A 15,570-nucleotide genomic window follows, 5' to 3' on the forward strand; every position below is an offset into this window, starting at 1 on the left:
ATTTCTTACCTCAATTATTTAAATATTCTCCCTGCCTCTAGTCTACCTCACTCTCCCCCAACAATGTCTCCACTCTTTTTTCAGGTTGATATTCCTTAAATGTGAATGTACTCATTTCACTTCCCTATATAAGATGCTACAATAGCCCCTACCATATTCAGAATAAAATCCAGACTCCTATTACATTTGGCCCCTGTTTATCTGTCCAGCTCTTTCATCATTATCTTTCCGGAAACACACTCCACCAGTCTTGAGGCACAGTGAACCACCTTCAGTCTCTTCAGTGAGTGATGCCTTCTTGTGCCTACATTTCTGTCCACATGCTGCTCCTTCTGTTTCCAATCCTTATCTTCCCCTTTATTTATTTATTTATTTTTTTTTTGAGACAAGGTCTCATTCTATCACCCAGGCTAGATTGCAATGGTGTGATCCCAGCTCACTGCAACCTCTGCCTCTCGAGCTCAAGTGATCCTCCCACCTCAGCATCCTGAGTACAGGCACACACCCCCACGCCCAACTAATTTTTATATTTTTTGTAGAAATGGGGTTTTGCCACGTTGCCCAGGCTGGTCTTGAACTCCTGGGCTCAAGCAAACTACCTCCTAAAGTGCTGGGATTAGAGGCGTGAGCCACCACGCCCGGCTCCCCTTCATCTTAATGGCTTGAGATTGAGGCAAGCTTGAGCTCTAATTCCAGTCTGTCAGTTCTGTCTTTTCATTTACTTAATAAGGGTTTCCTGGCACTGGGCAAGGTGCTAAGAATACAAGTAGCTACTGCCTAAGGAAGCTCACAGTCTCACAAAGCAGATAAGTACAGAGAACGTCAGAATTCAATGTGAAAGTGCTGTAACAAAAGGAAACTAGAACAGAAGGCTTCCCAGAGGAACTAACTCCTGAGTAAGTACTAAAGGGCATTTCCCACCATATGACATATAGAAAGAGGAAGGGTGTCTGTCTGTGTTGCTGGAGCAGGGTCAGGAGACAGGGAGTAGCAGAAAGATGACCATGCATGGTGGCCATATTGAGTGGGAGGCACTCCTGGGTCATGCAAGCAGAGATGCTGAAACACACAGTACACAGGTAGACCTACAGTGTTGAGATAAAGAGGAAGATGTTGGAGTGGAAAGCAGTCAGTACAGAGATGGCAGCTGAAACCACAAGAACACTACCCCACACTATTACACTGTCAATGATACAATGACACTACTATGGTAATGACAACCCACAGAGAACACAGGTTTACCCCATACTGATGATGTGTTTGACAGAGCTACATACCAGGTTGAAAAGATCTTTTTCTTAGTTTCCTAAAGTACTAGCTATTCAAGGAACAAAATCTATCTGAATCTAAAAGTGACCTAGTTACATACTCTGGGAAATTTGAGAATATATACAGCCTATTTACCCCGAAGTAATTTACAATCCACTGGGAAAACAATGGGTTTTCCATCATCCAATGAAAAATGGGATATTCTGCAATTCAGCACTCGAGGGAGGCTGGACAGGGGAGGAACTGGCTTTGATTGAGATGCTTAGTATATGCTTGTCACAGGAAGGTGGCTTTTAGAGAGCCCCGAGGGATGAATGGACCTTCAGCAGGAGGAGAGAAAACAGCACCATAGGTCCAGAGCCCATAAGAACACTACACCACACTGTGTAGACAGCTTTCTCTTCATGTCTAAGAAAGTTAGTGTGCAGAAATCACAATACTATAAAGAGGTCTCAGGAAGGAGCTTGGGTGGACAGAAGCAGAGGATGCCTGTTGGTGGTATCCAAGGTAAGAATCTGACAAATGGCATAAAGCAAAATGTGCATATTTGCTTGCAATACCCATGGACTTTTTCAAAAATACCAAACTTCTTGCATACTGAAATAACTGCATTGAGTATTTATTTATTTTAGGCTGTGGCTTTCCTATCATAAAATCCAAGTATGTGGTCAGAATAACCTAAGGGTATCTCAAACATTAGCCCTTAATAATCATGATTTGAATCTTCAAACCTTCATATAAGGAAAATAGCCTTCCCAAGGATAGGTTCTAATTAAAATCCTGGAGACTAGATTTTCTTTAATTTTTTTTTTTTTTTTGCTTCTCTATTTCCTAGGCAAAGAAAAGGATACCACTGGACTTCGTAAACTTCTCAAGAGTATTCTCTTGCTCAAGAACAAAACACTCTCCAGAATAATCTAAAATCTACATGGAATAATACAAAAACTATGGGGGGGGAGTTGAATTTCAAGGCCCTTACAGTCCTTGATAAACAATGATGGAATAAATAATGGAAAACATAATCTGTGGCTGCTCAACTAGACAGTTCTGCTAATGACCATAAAGAGAACCCAAACTCTAAAACTTACCTCTGTATTTCCCCTTTACATTGAGTTAGGCTGAAGCAATAGCTCAAATAATCCAAGTTAACAAAAGCCGACAGAGAAGTGATTCAGAGGTAAATGCATTTGTTCATTCATTGACTCATTCAACACTCGCTTGAAACTTATCACATGCCAAGCTCTGTCTAGGTGCTGGAGTACATGGGGAAGAAGCCACGCCCCTGCCTTCATGGAGGTGTCACTCCAAACTCAGCTCAATTTTACAGCAACGTCAAATTACACAAAGGACTTCAACTTATAGTTTTCCTTCCAGAGGTTAGATTGTGACACTTTCATAAAACTTATGTTAGTGTGCTGCTTCTGCTCAGGATTCAGAATGAATAAACTAAAATTCTACCCTTCCTTTAAGAACTACTTAGAAAAAAAAAACTTTATAAATAATATGATGAATTAAGAATCCCATAACTTGGTCATGAGAAATCTCTGATTTTATTTAGTCTAATCTCCTATAAGTGATCCTCCTTATGGAGTATATGTGAAAGATTATCATGTATTAAAACAAGAATCCCAAAAGCATTATACATTAACATTTATTGAATCCGTTTACTAACTCCTCTTTGTTAATAAATTCCACGGGTGATAACAATTACCTGTTCATATGCCCAGAATTTAACAGCTGTCTCAGGAGCAATTTTGATGACGTTTGTACCATTTCCCCTCCAAAGCGAGCGGATACCTCCTTCTTTTACCATCTGTCGAAAGCCACCAAATATGTTCATTTTGTCTGATTTTGAACCGTGAACCTAAAAATAAAAGCAGAATGATATAAAATGCTGGTGGCATATTACTATTACTTTTTCTAGAACAACCACACAATCTTTTTCAATACCCTTTCTAACTGCAAGAAGATATATTTGAAAATAAAATATAGAAAGGTTGAAAAATATATATAATGATGAGAGGGAGTATTGCCATGATTTTAGAGGCCTGTCTCTGACTCTAAAACTAAGAATAATTGGTATCTTCAGTGTGAGAAAGCAGAGAGAGAAGACAAGAAGAGTATTAAAATTATGAACAACCTTCATAAGATAATATTAACTAAATTATGTATCAGGCAATGGAACACCCTTTGAAACATGAACAGGCTCAGTTAAAGGGAAATAAAAAAGTATACTGCAGATAATAATATTATATTATTACATATAATTTAATGTATGTATATTATTACATATAATTTAAAGTAATATGTTACTCCCTCTCCTCAAGAAGTAGTACAGACATGAACTGTAAATGGGTCTGAAATGGTTTGGATATTGTGTATATCAGGGCTACCAACACTGGAATGCATACAGCCTGAAACCAAAAATAAAAATTGCACCCTCTTTGGCATATTTTGAGGCCCTCTCTAGGCAATAAATTCATTACAACATGTACCCATCCTGTGAGTACTGATAAATTACTTGGCTTATACTACAGATGTGGTAGTCACTTAAAAATACTGTACCTTATGACCACCTACAGATAAAAACTGATTAAGTCCAATACACCAAAAATAATTAAACAAATCAGCTATTCTTCTGATTGTTTCAGCTCACATAAAAGGGGTGACTACCACTAAACACACACACACACACACACACACACACACACACTCACAGAACGGGTTGAATTCTGAAGGCCAGCCATGTGGCCAGTATGAAAACGGGCCCCAATAAGAACTCTGCACACCAAAGGCTCAGGTGAGCTTCCCTGGTTGGTCTGCAATATTCCATGCCTAGTGCCACATAACAGTGCCAGGAAAGTAAGACATGGAGACTCCACAGGGAGAGGACAACAGAAGCTCTGCCCTATGTGCTTCTTTACTTGACTGATTTTCATCCGCATCTTTTCCCCGTAATAAACCATAACCAGGGGTAATAAGCTTTCAGTGAGTTATGTGAGTCTTTCTAGAGAAGTATCAAACCTGAAGGTTGACTTTGGAAACTCCTCAAATTTGCAGAAACTAAATTCCAGAGAAATCCATTTTATTTTAAATAAATAAACTTCACAATAAAATAGGACAAAGGAAAAAATAAATGCTTATTCAAGTTCTCTAAAAGTCAAGTTACTACTGTTCCTAAAGAAAAACACACACCAATCCCCTCTCCTTTTTCTTTAAAGCATTAGCTTTGCCCCTAAATAAATTTTGAGATTTGGGTACATTCTGAAGGAATGCTGGCTTAAAACAGTGTCAGAATCTTTTTGTACAGAAATCTACAGACAAATATAAAAAGTGTTGACCATAAGTATAACAAAGTTTTAAAAATATTTTGTAAACAACTACTATGTTCCAATAGGTTATTCCAGTGTACCAGACATTATCACATACCTGATATTGCTTGATTCTTAAACCATTCTTATTAGATATTCTTATCCCCATCCCAGAATGAAGGAAAATGAGACCTCAGAGGTTTCATGCAGCATGAGAACCAGGAGCACTGGAGGCAAAGATACTGCATTCCCCCTCTCATTTGTTGTAAAGGAAAAGTCAATTCTCTGGGCCTCAGATTCCCCCTGGAAAAATGATAAAATACCTACTTCACTGGGCTGCTGCAAGGATTAACTGGGTTACCACAGTGAGCAAATACATATTAATTCTTTTCCATTCCCTCTTTCCACTCTGGCCAGCCCAATGCTACACTGCTAGTAAATAGCAAAGTCAGTCTATAAAGCCAGATCTTTTTCTGCTAACCTCAGCTTTAGAATAATTTTCAAAATTACATTGCTGCTCTAAGATTCTAGATTTCAAAAATACTTTACTTTTGATAAAGTATATTAAAAAGAAGGAAACTATAAATCAGGAGAATCCTACAACAATAGCTAGAGATATTTTTTGAATTAAATGTTTGAATAGTCATAGAATGCCAAAGATTAAAAGTTCATTACACACATGTACTAACAATTTAAGGTTTGGTACACTGCCATACTTACATGGACTGAATTTAGAGTTAACAGCAACAAAATAGATTTATTTTTTAGGGTATAAAAGATTATTACTGAGAAATTTTAAAACTTCTTTTTCAAAGCACCACATTTCTCATTGTTTTAGAATATTTAGGGCAAACCTGGACACACGATAATAAAGCTCACCTGCATCATGATTTTCAGACGGTCCAAAGGGGCAGTGCTTGTTCGAGAGACAGCACCAGCAATGCCTCCTGCCAAAAGCTGCCTCCACCATTGTCCGGATTTTTTTTCGTCTTCCGTGAATTCATCTGGAATAGTTAAGCTATCCCCTATGTCAATTCCCTGTAAAAATGAAAAAAAGATCCCCATGCGCCTTAGTTAAAAATAATCCCAGAAGACGTTTTGTTTTAGAGAAGAATCATGTTATTTTACAGTTAATATGAACTTCATTCCCTAGAATTTATACTAAACCAATTTGAGTACATAGATTATAAGTTGTCTACTCACAATGAACAAAGTACAGTATCAGTTCACAAGAAATGAAAATAAACAGTAATTACAAATATACAAAACCAACAGTTACAACTTTCTTTCATTCATCATAGATTCACAGTATGTTTTCTCTTGGTCTAGGTTAAAATGAAAGGGCAGCATTTTATCATAGTCAATCTTTTTTATTGCAACCATTTTTCATAAGGCTAGAAAACCAACTGGTGATGACATCTTTTAAGAAATTCGTTCATCAATTCTTAAACAATACTTCCTTTATCTCAAATTTATATCCACATCATATTTATACCATGATATGTTTTAAATATGTAAATAAAAATTAAAACTGTATGTGAATACCCCTAAACTCATTTCCTACTGTTTATAAAAATATTTTTATAAATCTGACTTATCATTTAAAACATGCAATAGATTCTATATAAAATTTAGCTAATGGAGAGGTATTGTTTCAAATCATCACCCCTTCAACCTATTCTACATTACTATAGTTTGAGAGAAACAATTCTATAATAATATTTTTACAATTCTATTATCTAAATTGTTTTGGCAGAAAAATTTTTACAGGCAAGAGTGCAACGGGGAGGAGCTCTCCTATGGTAGTAACCCTCCCTTCCTTCATTTTACTATCAATAAAATGGAGATACAATTGTAGTCTCAACTGTTATCAACTACCTTAAAAAATACCGTAAGAATTATGTAAATAAAACTTCACATAGTGTACAATTTATCTAGGCAACTGAACTACTAGTATAATATTATCTTATACTCATAGCTGAGAAGGCACTAATCACCAACAATTTTATAATGCTTTATGTAAGCTTAGGCATTGTTACTAGTGGCAATGTGAACTCCTGACTTCATTTAATGCATATTTAATTTAGTCAAATCTGAAGTGTAGAAGACAAGCCCATAAAGAAAAAAAAAAAAAAAAAGGCCGGGCACAGTGGCTCACGCCTGTAATCCCAGCACTTTGGGAGGCGAGGCGGGCGGATTACAAGGTCAGGAGATCGAGACCATCCTGGCTAACACGGTGAAACCCCGTCTCTACTAAAAATACAAAAAAAATTAGCCAGGCGCAGTGGTGGGTGCCTGTAGTCCCAGCTACTCCGGTGGCTGAGGCAGGAGAATGGCGTGAACCCCGGAGGCCGAGTTTGCAGAGAGCCGAGATCGCACCACTGCACTCTAGCCTGGGCAACAGAGCAAGACTCCGTCTCAAAAAAACAAAACAAAAACAAAAACAAAAACAAAAAATAAATAAAACTCCTTCAGAGAGTTCCTAAGGGTTTCAGGAGCAGATTGCACAATAATAGAACTTGGTTTACATCAGTATGCAGAATATTAATGAAACAATCAAAATTTGAAAGTTTGGTGGAAAACAAACTGGTATGAAATGCTAAGCAGATGAAGCAAAAAGATTCTGTAACCTTTAATGAATATTGTTAAGTGCCTTATGCCAGAGATAAACATAATCTGACCAAACAAGGACACAGATCCTTAGCAACCATGAGGTGCTGAGATTATTTGGACAATATAGTACCTATAAAAAGTAAAAGCCTACAACTTTTACACTTCCCTATGGCAGAATACTTAAATGCCAATAAAAGCTAGACAGCTTATTCATCAAGGTGGTACTTCTTCCAAGTTTTCAGAATGGACATTTATGCAGTCTTGGGTTGTTTTTTTTTTTTTTTTTTTAATTGATCATTCTTGGGTGTTTCTCGCAGAGGGGGATTTGGCAGGGTCACAGGACAATAGTGGAGGGAAGGTCAGCAGATAAACAAGTGAACAAAGGTCTCTGGTTTTCCTAGGCAGAGGACCCTGCGGCCTTCCGCAGTGTTTGTGTCCCTGGGTACTTGAGATTAGGGAGTGGTGATGACTCTTAACGAGCCTGCTGCCTTCAAGCATCTGTTTAGCAAAGCACATCTTGCACCGCCCTTAATCCATTTAACCCTGAGTGGACACAGCACATGTTTCAGAGAGCACAGGGTTGGGGGTAAGGTCATAGATCAACAGGATCCCAAGGCAGAAGAATTTTTCTTAGTACAGAACAAAATGAAAAGTCTCCCATGTCTACCTCTTTCTACACAGACACAGCAACCATCCGATTTCTCAATCTTTTCCCCACCTTTCCCCTTTTTCTATTCCACAAAACCGCCATTGTCATCATGGCCCGTTCTCAATGAGCTGTTGGGTACACCTCCCAGATGGGGTGGTGGCCGGGCAGAGGGGCTCCTCACTTCCCTGTAGGGGCGGCCGGGCAGAGGCACCCCTCACCTCCCGGATGGGGTGGCTGGCCGGGCGGGGGGCTGACCCCTCCACCTCCCTCCCGGACAGGGTGGCTGCCGGGCGGAGACGCTCCTCACTTCCCAGACGGGGCGGCTGCCGGGCGGAGGGTCTCCTCACTTCTCAGACGGGGCGGCCGAGCAGAGGCGCTCCTCACATCCCAGACGGGGCGGCGGGGCAGAGGCGCTCCCCACATCTCAGACGATGGGCGGCCGGGCAGAGACGCTCCTCACTTCCTAGATGGGATGGCGGCCGGGAAGAGGCGCTCCTCACTTTCCAGACTGGGCAGCCAGGCAGAGGGGCTCCTCACATCCCAGACGATGGGCGGCCGGGCAGAGACGCTCACTTCCTAGACAGGATGGCGGCCGGGCAGAGACACTCCTCACTTTCCAGACTGGGCAGCCAGGCAGAGGGGCTCCTCATATCCCAGACGATGGGCGGCCAGGCAGAGACGCTCCTCACTTCCCAGACGGGGTGGCGGCTGGGCAGAGGCTGCAATCTTGGCACTTTGGGAGGCCAAGGCAGGCGGCTGGGAGGTGGAGGTTGTAGCGAGCCGAGATCATGCCACTGCACCCCAGCCTGGGCACCATTGAGCACTGAGTGAACGAGACTCCGTCTGCAATCCCAGCACCTCGGGAGGCCGAGGCTGGTGGATCACTCGCGGTCAGGAGCTGGAGACCAGCCCGGCCAACATAGCGAAACCCCGTCTCCACCAAAAAAATACGAAAAACAGTCAGGCGTGGCGGTGCGCGCCTGCAATCGCAGGCACTCGGCAGGCTGAGGCAGGAGAATCAGGCAGGGAGGTTGCAGTGAGCCGAGATGGCAGCAGTACAGTCCAGCTTTGGCTCGGCATCAGAGGGAGACCGTGGAAAGAGAGGGAGAGGGAGACCGTGGGGAGGGGGAGAGAGAGGGAGAGGGAGAGGGAGAGCTGTTTTTTTTTGTTTAATACTCTATAAATCTATGCCTAATAGAATAAATAGAACTCTACAGGTTAAGGAGCTACTGGGACTCAGGTATCCTGGCCCATAAGTGTTACAGAGTGTTCTTGGGTGATAACTGTACCTATGGTTTATAGCTCCAAATAAGTATAAATACATAAAGTAGACTTACTGTAGAATGTTTCCAGAAACGGATAATTTCCTCAATGTCTGTAACAGGATTAAATAAGAAGTAGTCTCTCCATTCATTCCAGTCCACTGTCATTGTCCCATCAACATCAATGCTGAAATTTTAAAAAAATGATCAAAGTACAAAACTAAATTGATAAATAAAACTAACATTATTGGCCACTTTACAGAATGACAGTTTCTTTTCTAACATAATATTCTCATTAAATTAAAAAACCCCATCCACAAATATAGGTTGTTGGAAATGGCAGCAAGCATTTTATGGTCCTGTCAGATAGTTTTAATTATCTAGATAAAAATGGGCCCAAAAATTACAGCCAGCTCACTAAAGAATACTTTCAGCACTCTGTCAAACTCTGCCAATGAGCTACAAAACACAAAAACTTGAAGATAAAATATTAAACGATGGTAATGAATAGATTCATTATCCATTTTTTTCATGCACTTAGTGGATCATGAAGATAATTCTTAATGTTCTATTGCAACATTTGAATGTAGTTTTGAAATATACTCAAAACATGCTATCAACTTCCTCGAAGTTAGGAAAATTAACAGCTATTATAAAAAATCAAACTGTCAGTGACTGTGCCTTTGAGTCTTTTTTTTTTATTATTATACTTTAAGTTTTAGGGTACATGTGCACAATGTGCAGGTTAGTTACATATGTATACATGTGCCTTGCTGGTGCGCTGCACCCACTAACTCGTCATCTAGCATTAGGTATATCTCCCAATGCCATCCCTCCCCCTCCCCCCACCCCACAACAGTCCCCAGAGTGTGATGTTCCCCTTCCTGTGTCCATGTGTTCTCACTGTTCAATTCCCACCTATGAGTGAGAATATGCGGTGTTTGGTTTTTTGTTCTTGTGATAGTTTACTGAGAATGATGATTTCCAATTTCATCCATGTCCCTACAAAAGACATGAACTCATCTTTTATGGCTGCATAGTATTCCATGGTGTAAATGTGCCACATTTTCTTAATCCAGTCTATCATTGTTGGACATTTGGCTTGGTTCCAAGTCTTTGCTATTGTGAATAGTGCCACAATAAACATACATGTGCATGTGTCTTTATAGCAGCATGATTTATAGTCCTTTGGGTATATACCCAGTAATGGGATGGCTGGGTCAAATGATATTTCTAGTTCTAGATCCCTGAGGAATTGCCACACTGACTTCCACAAGGGTTGAACTAGTTTACAGTCCCACCAACAGTGTAAAAGTGTTCCTATTTCTCCACATCCTCTCCAGCACCTGTTGTTTCCTGACTTTTTAATGATTGCCATTCTAACTGGTGTGAGATGGTATCTCATTGTGGTTTTGATTTGCATTTCTCTGATGGCCAGTGATGGTGAGCATTTTTTCATGTGTTTTTTGGCTGCATAAATGTCTTCTTTCGAGAAGTGTCTGTTCATGTCCTTCACCCACTTTTTGATAGGGTTGTTTGTTTTTTTCTTGTAAATTTGTTTGAGTTCATTGTAGATTCTGGATATTAGCCCTTTGTCAGATGAGTAGGTTGCAAAAATTTTCTCCCATTTTGGAGGTTGCCTGTTCACTCTGATAGTAGTTTCTTTTGCTGTGCAGAAGCTCTTTAGTTTAATTAGATCCCATTTGTCAATTTTGGCTTTTGTTGCCATTGCTTTTGGTGTTTTAGACATGAAGTCCTTGCCCATGCCTATGTCCTGAATGGTAATGCCTAGGTTTTCTTCTAGGGGTTTTATGGTTTTAGGTCTAACGTTTAAGTCTTTAATCCATCTTGAATTGATTTTTGTATAAGGTGTAAGGAAGGGATCCAGTTTCAGCTTTCTACATATGGCTAGCCAGTTTTCCCAGCACCATTTATTAAATAGGGAATCCTTTCCCCATTGCTTGTTTTTCTCAGGTTTGTCAAAGATCAGATAGTTGTAGATATGCGGCGTTATTTCTGAGGGCTCTGTTCTGTTCCATTGGTCTATATCTCTGTTTTGGTACCAGTACCATGCTGGTTTGGTTACTGTAGCCTTGTAGTATAGTTTGAAGTCAGGTAGCATGATGCCTCCAGCTTTGTTCTTTTGGCTTAGGATTGACTTGGCAATGCGGGCTCTTTTTTGGTTCCATATGAACTTTAAAGTAGTTTTTTCCAATTCTGTGAAGAAAGTCATTGGTAGCTTGATGGGGATGGCATTGAATCTGTAAATTGCCTTGGGCAGTATGGCCATTTTCACGATACTGATTCTTCCTACCCATGAGCATGGAATGTTCTTCCATTTGTTTGTATCCTCTTTTATTTCATTAAGCAGTGGTTTGCAGTTCTCCTTGAAGAGGTCCTTCACATCCCTTGTAAGTTGGATTCCTAGGTATTTTATTCTCTTTGTAGCAATTGTGAACGGGAGTTCACTCATGATTTGGCTCTCTGTCTGTTGCTGGTGTATAAGAATGCTTGTGATTTTTGTACATTGATTTTGTATCCTGAGACTTTGCTGAAGTTGCTTATCAGCTTAAGGAGATTTTGGGCTGAGACAATGGGGTTTTCTATATATACAATCATGTCGTCTGCAAACAGGGACAATTTGACTTCCTCTTTTCCTAATTGAATACCCTTTATTTCCTTCTCCTGCCTAACTGCCCTGGCCAGAACTTCCAACACTATGTCGAATAGGAGTGGTGAGAGAGGGCATCCCTGTCTTGTGCCAGTTTTCAAAGGGAATGCTTCCAGTTTTTACCCAGTCAGTATGATATTGGCTGTGGGTTTGTCATAGATAGCTGTTATTATTTTGAGATACATCCCATCAATACCTAATTTATTGAAAGTTTTTAGCATGAAGTGTTGTTGAATTTTGTCAAAGGCTTTTTCTGCATCTATTGAGATAATCATGTGGTTTTTGTCTTTGGTTCTGTTTATATGCTGGATTACATTTACTGATTTGCGTATATTGAACCAGCCTTGCATCCCAGGGATGAAGCCCACTTGATCATGGTGGATAAGCTTTTTGATGTGCTGCTGGATTCAGTTTGCCAGTATTTTATTGAGGATTTTTGCATCAATGTTCATCAAGGATATTGGTCTAAAATTCTCTTTTTTTGTTGTGTCTCTGCCTGGCTTTGGTATCAGGATGATGCTGGCCTCATAAAATGAGTTAGGGAGGATTCCCTCTTTTTCTATTGATTGGAATAGTTTCAGAAGGAATGGTACCAGTTCCTCCTTGTACCTCTGGTAGAATTCGGCTGTGAATCCATCTGGTCCTGGACTCTTTTTGGTTGGTAAGCTATTGATTATTGCCACAATTTCAGATCCTGTTATTGGTCTATTCAGAAATTCAACTTCTTCCTGGTTTAGTCTTGGGAGGGTGTATGTGTCGAGGAATTTATCCATTTCTTCTAGATTTTCTAGTTTATTTGCATAGAGGTGTTTGTAGTATTCTCTGATGGTAGTTTGTATTTCTGTGGGATTGGTGGTGATATCCCCTTTATCATTTTTTATTGTGTCTATTTGATTCTTCTCTCTTTTTTTCTTTATTAGTCTTGCTAGCGGTCTATCAATTTTGTTGATCCTTTCAAAAACAACCAGCTCCTGGATTCATTAATTTTTTGAAGGGTTTTTTGTCTCTATTTCCTTCAGTTCTGCTCTGATTTTAGTTATTTCTTGCCTTCTGCTAGCTTTTGAATGTGTTTGCTCTTGCTTTTCTAGTTCTTTTAATTGTGATGTTAGGGTGTCAATTTTGGATCTTTCCTGCTTTCTCTTGTGGGCATTTAGTGCTATAAATTTCCCTCTACACACTGCTTTGAATGCGTCCCAGAGATTCTGGTATGTTGTGTCTTTGTTCTCGTTGGTTTCAAAGAGCGTCTTTATTTCTGCCTTCATTTCGTTATGTACCCAGTAGTCATTCAGGAGCAGGTTGTTCAGTTTCCATGTAGTTGAGTGGTTTTGAGTGAAATTCTTAATCCTGAGTTCTAGTTTGATTGCACTGTGGTCTGAGAGATAGTTTGCTATAATTTCTGTTCTTTTACATTTGGTGAGGAGTGCTTTACTTCCAAGTATGTGGTCAATTTTGGAATAGCCGTGGTGTGGTGCTGAAAAAAATGTATATTCTGTTGATTTGGGGTGCAGAGTTCTGTAGATGTGTATTAGGTCTGCTTGGTGCAGAGCTGAGTTCAATTCCTGGGTATCCTTGTTGACTTTCTGTCTCATTGGTCTGTCTAATGTTGACAGTGGGGTGTGAAAGTCTCCCATTATTAATGTGTGGGAGTTTAAGTCTCTTTGTAGGTCACTCAGGACTTGCTTTATGAATCTGGGTGCTCCTGTATTGGGTGCATATATATTTAGGATAGTTAGCTCTTCTTGTTGAATTGATCCCTTTACCATTATGTAATGGCCTTCTTTGTCTCTTCTGATCTTTGTTGGTTTAAAGTCTGTTTTATCAGAGACTAGGATTGCAACCCCTGTCTTTTTTTGTTTTCCATTTGCTTGGTAGATCTTCCTCCATCCTTTTATTTTGAGTCTATGTGTGTCTCTACATGTGAGATGGGTTTCCTTAATACAGCACACTGATGGGTCTTGACTCTGTATCCAATTTGCCAGTCTGTGTCTTTTAATTGGAGCATTTAGTCCATTTACATTTAAAGTTAATATTGTTATGTGTGAATTTGATCCTGTCATTATGATGTTAGCTGGTTATTTTGCTCGTTTGTTAATGCAGTTTCTTCCTAGTCTCGACGGTCTTTACATTTTGGCATGATTTTGCAGCGGCTGGTACTGATTGTTCCTTTCCATGTTAAGCACTTCCTTCAGGAACTCTTTTAGGGCAGGCCTGGTGGTGACAAAATCTCTCAGCATTTGCTTGTCTGTAAAGGATTTTATTTCTCCTTCACTTATGAAGCTTAGTTTGGCTGGATATGAAATTCTGGGTTGAAAATTCTTTTCTTTAAGAATGTTGAATATTGGCCCCCACTCTCTTCTGGTTTGTAGAGTTTCTGCCAAGAGATCCGCTGTTAGTCTGATGGGCTTCCATTTGAGGGTAACCCGACCTTTCTCTCTGGCTGCCCTTAACATTTTTTCCTTCATTTCAACTTTGGTGAATCTGACAATTATGTGTCTTGGAGTTGCTCTTCTCAAGGAGTATCTTTGTGGCGTTCTCTGTATTTCCTGAATCTGAATGTTGGCCTGCCTTGCTAGATTGGGGAAGTTCTCCTGGATAATATCCTGCAGAGTGTTTTCCAACTTGGTTCCATTCTCCCCGTCACTTTCAGGTACACCAATCAGACATAGATTTGGTCTTTTCACATAGTCCCATATTTCTTGGAGGCTTTGCTCGTTTCTTTTTATTCTTTTTTCTCTAAACTTCCCTTCTCGCTTCATTTCATTCATTTCATCTTCCATCGCTGATACCCTTTCTTCCAGTTGATCGCATCAGCTCCTGAGGCTTCTGCATTCTTCATGTAGTTCTCGAGCCTTGGTTTTCAGCTCCATCAGCTCCTTTAAGCACTTCTCTGTATTGGTTATTCTAGTTATACATTCTTCTACATTTTTTTCAAAGTTTTCAACTTCTTTGCCTTTGGTTTGAATGTCCTCCCATAGCTCAGAGTAATTTGATCGTCTGAAGCCTTCTCTCAGCTCGTCAGAGTCATTCTCCATCCAGCTTTGTTCCGTTGCTGGTGAGGAACAGCGTTCCTTTGGAGGAGGAGAGGCACTCTGCTTTTTAGAGTTTCCAGTTTTTCTGCTCTGTTTTTTCCCCATCTTTGTGGTTTTATCTACTTTTGGTCTTTGATGATGGTGATGTACAGATGGGTTTTTGGTGTGGATGTCCTTTCTGTTTGTTAGTTTTCCTTCTAACAGACAGGACCCTCAGCTGCAGGTCTGTTGGAGTAACCGGCTGTGTGAGGTGTCAGTGTGCCCCTGCTGGGGGGTGCCTCCCAGTTAGGCTGCTCGGGCGTCAGGGGTCAGGGACCCACTTGAGGAGGCAGTCTGCCCGTTCTCAGATCTCCAGCTGCGTGCTGGGAGAACCACTGCTCTCTTCAAAGCTGTCAGACAGGGACATTTAAGTCTGCAGAGGTTACTGCTGTCTTTTTGTTTGTCTGTGCCCTGCCCCCAGAGGTGGAGCCTACAGAGGCAGGCAGGCCTCCTTGAGCTGTGGTGGGCTCCACCCAGTTTGAGCTTCCCGGCTGCTTTGTTTACCTAAGCAAGCCTGGGCAATGGCGGGTGCCCCTCCCCCAGCCTCGCTGCCGCCTTGCAGTTTGATCTCAGACTGCTGTGCTAGCAATCAGCGAGACTCCGTGGGTGTAGGACCCTCCGAGCCAGGTGCAGGATATAATCTCCTGGTGCGCCATTTTTTAAGCCCGTCAGAAAAGCGCAGTATTCAGGTGGGAGTGACCCGATTTTCCAGGTGCCATCTGTCACC

The 15,570-nt window shown here is 40.7% G+C and overlaps 1 protein-coding gene across 2 annotated transcripts in view, besides 1 other annotated feature; it reads right to left on the minus strand.

Moving 5' to 3' along the window:
- The window catches only part of SLC25A24 (solute carrier family 25 member 24), a 66,301-nt gene that overhangs the window by 17,960 nt on the left and 32,771 nt on the right, over nt 1-15,570 (minus strand). For both annotated transcript variants that reach the window (NM_013386.5, NM_213651.3), the window contains exons 4-6: nt 9,180-9,291; nt 5,460-5,618; nt 2,981-3,133 (exon numbers count right to left, since the gene is read on the minus strand). In NM_013386.5, coding sequence (NP_037518.3) covers nt 2,981-3,133; nt 5,460-5,618; nt 9,180-9,291 — 424 coding nt within the window. The remainder of the gene's footprint in view (nt 1-2,980; nt 3,134-5,459; nt 5,619-9,179; nt 9,292-15,570) is intronic.
- Nucleotides 7,394-8,332: an enhancer, noted in NCBI's record as "NANOG-H3K27ac hESC enhancer chr1:108702018-108702956 (GRCh37/hg19 assembly coordinates)". NCBI's record gives its function as "activates a minimal SCP1, AML or CMV promoter by ChIP-STARR-seq in naive and primed H9 embryonic stem cells {active_cell/tissue: H9 hESC(naive and primed)}" and the evidence as "EXISTENCE:reporter gene assay evidence [ECO:0000049][PMID:30033119]".

The sequence above is a fragment of the Homo sapiens genome, chromosome 1 (genome assembly GCF_000001405.40).
Source record: "Homo sapiens chromosome 1, GRCh38.p14 Primary Assembly".
Taxonomy (NCBI): Eukaryota; Metazoa; Chordata; class Mammalia; order Primates; family Hominidae; genus Homo; species Homo sapiens.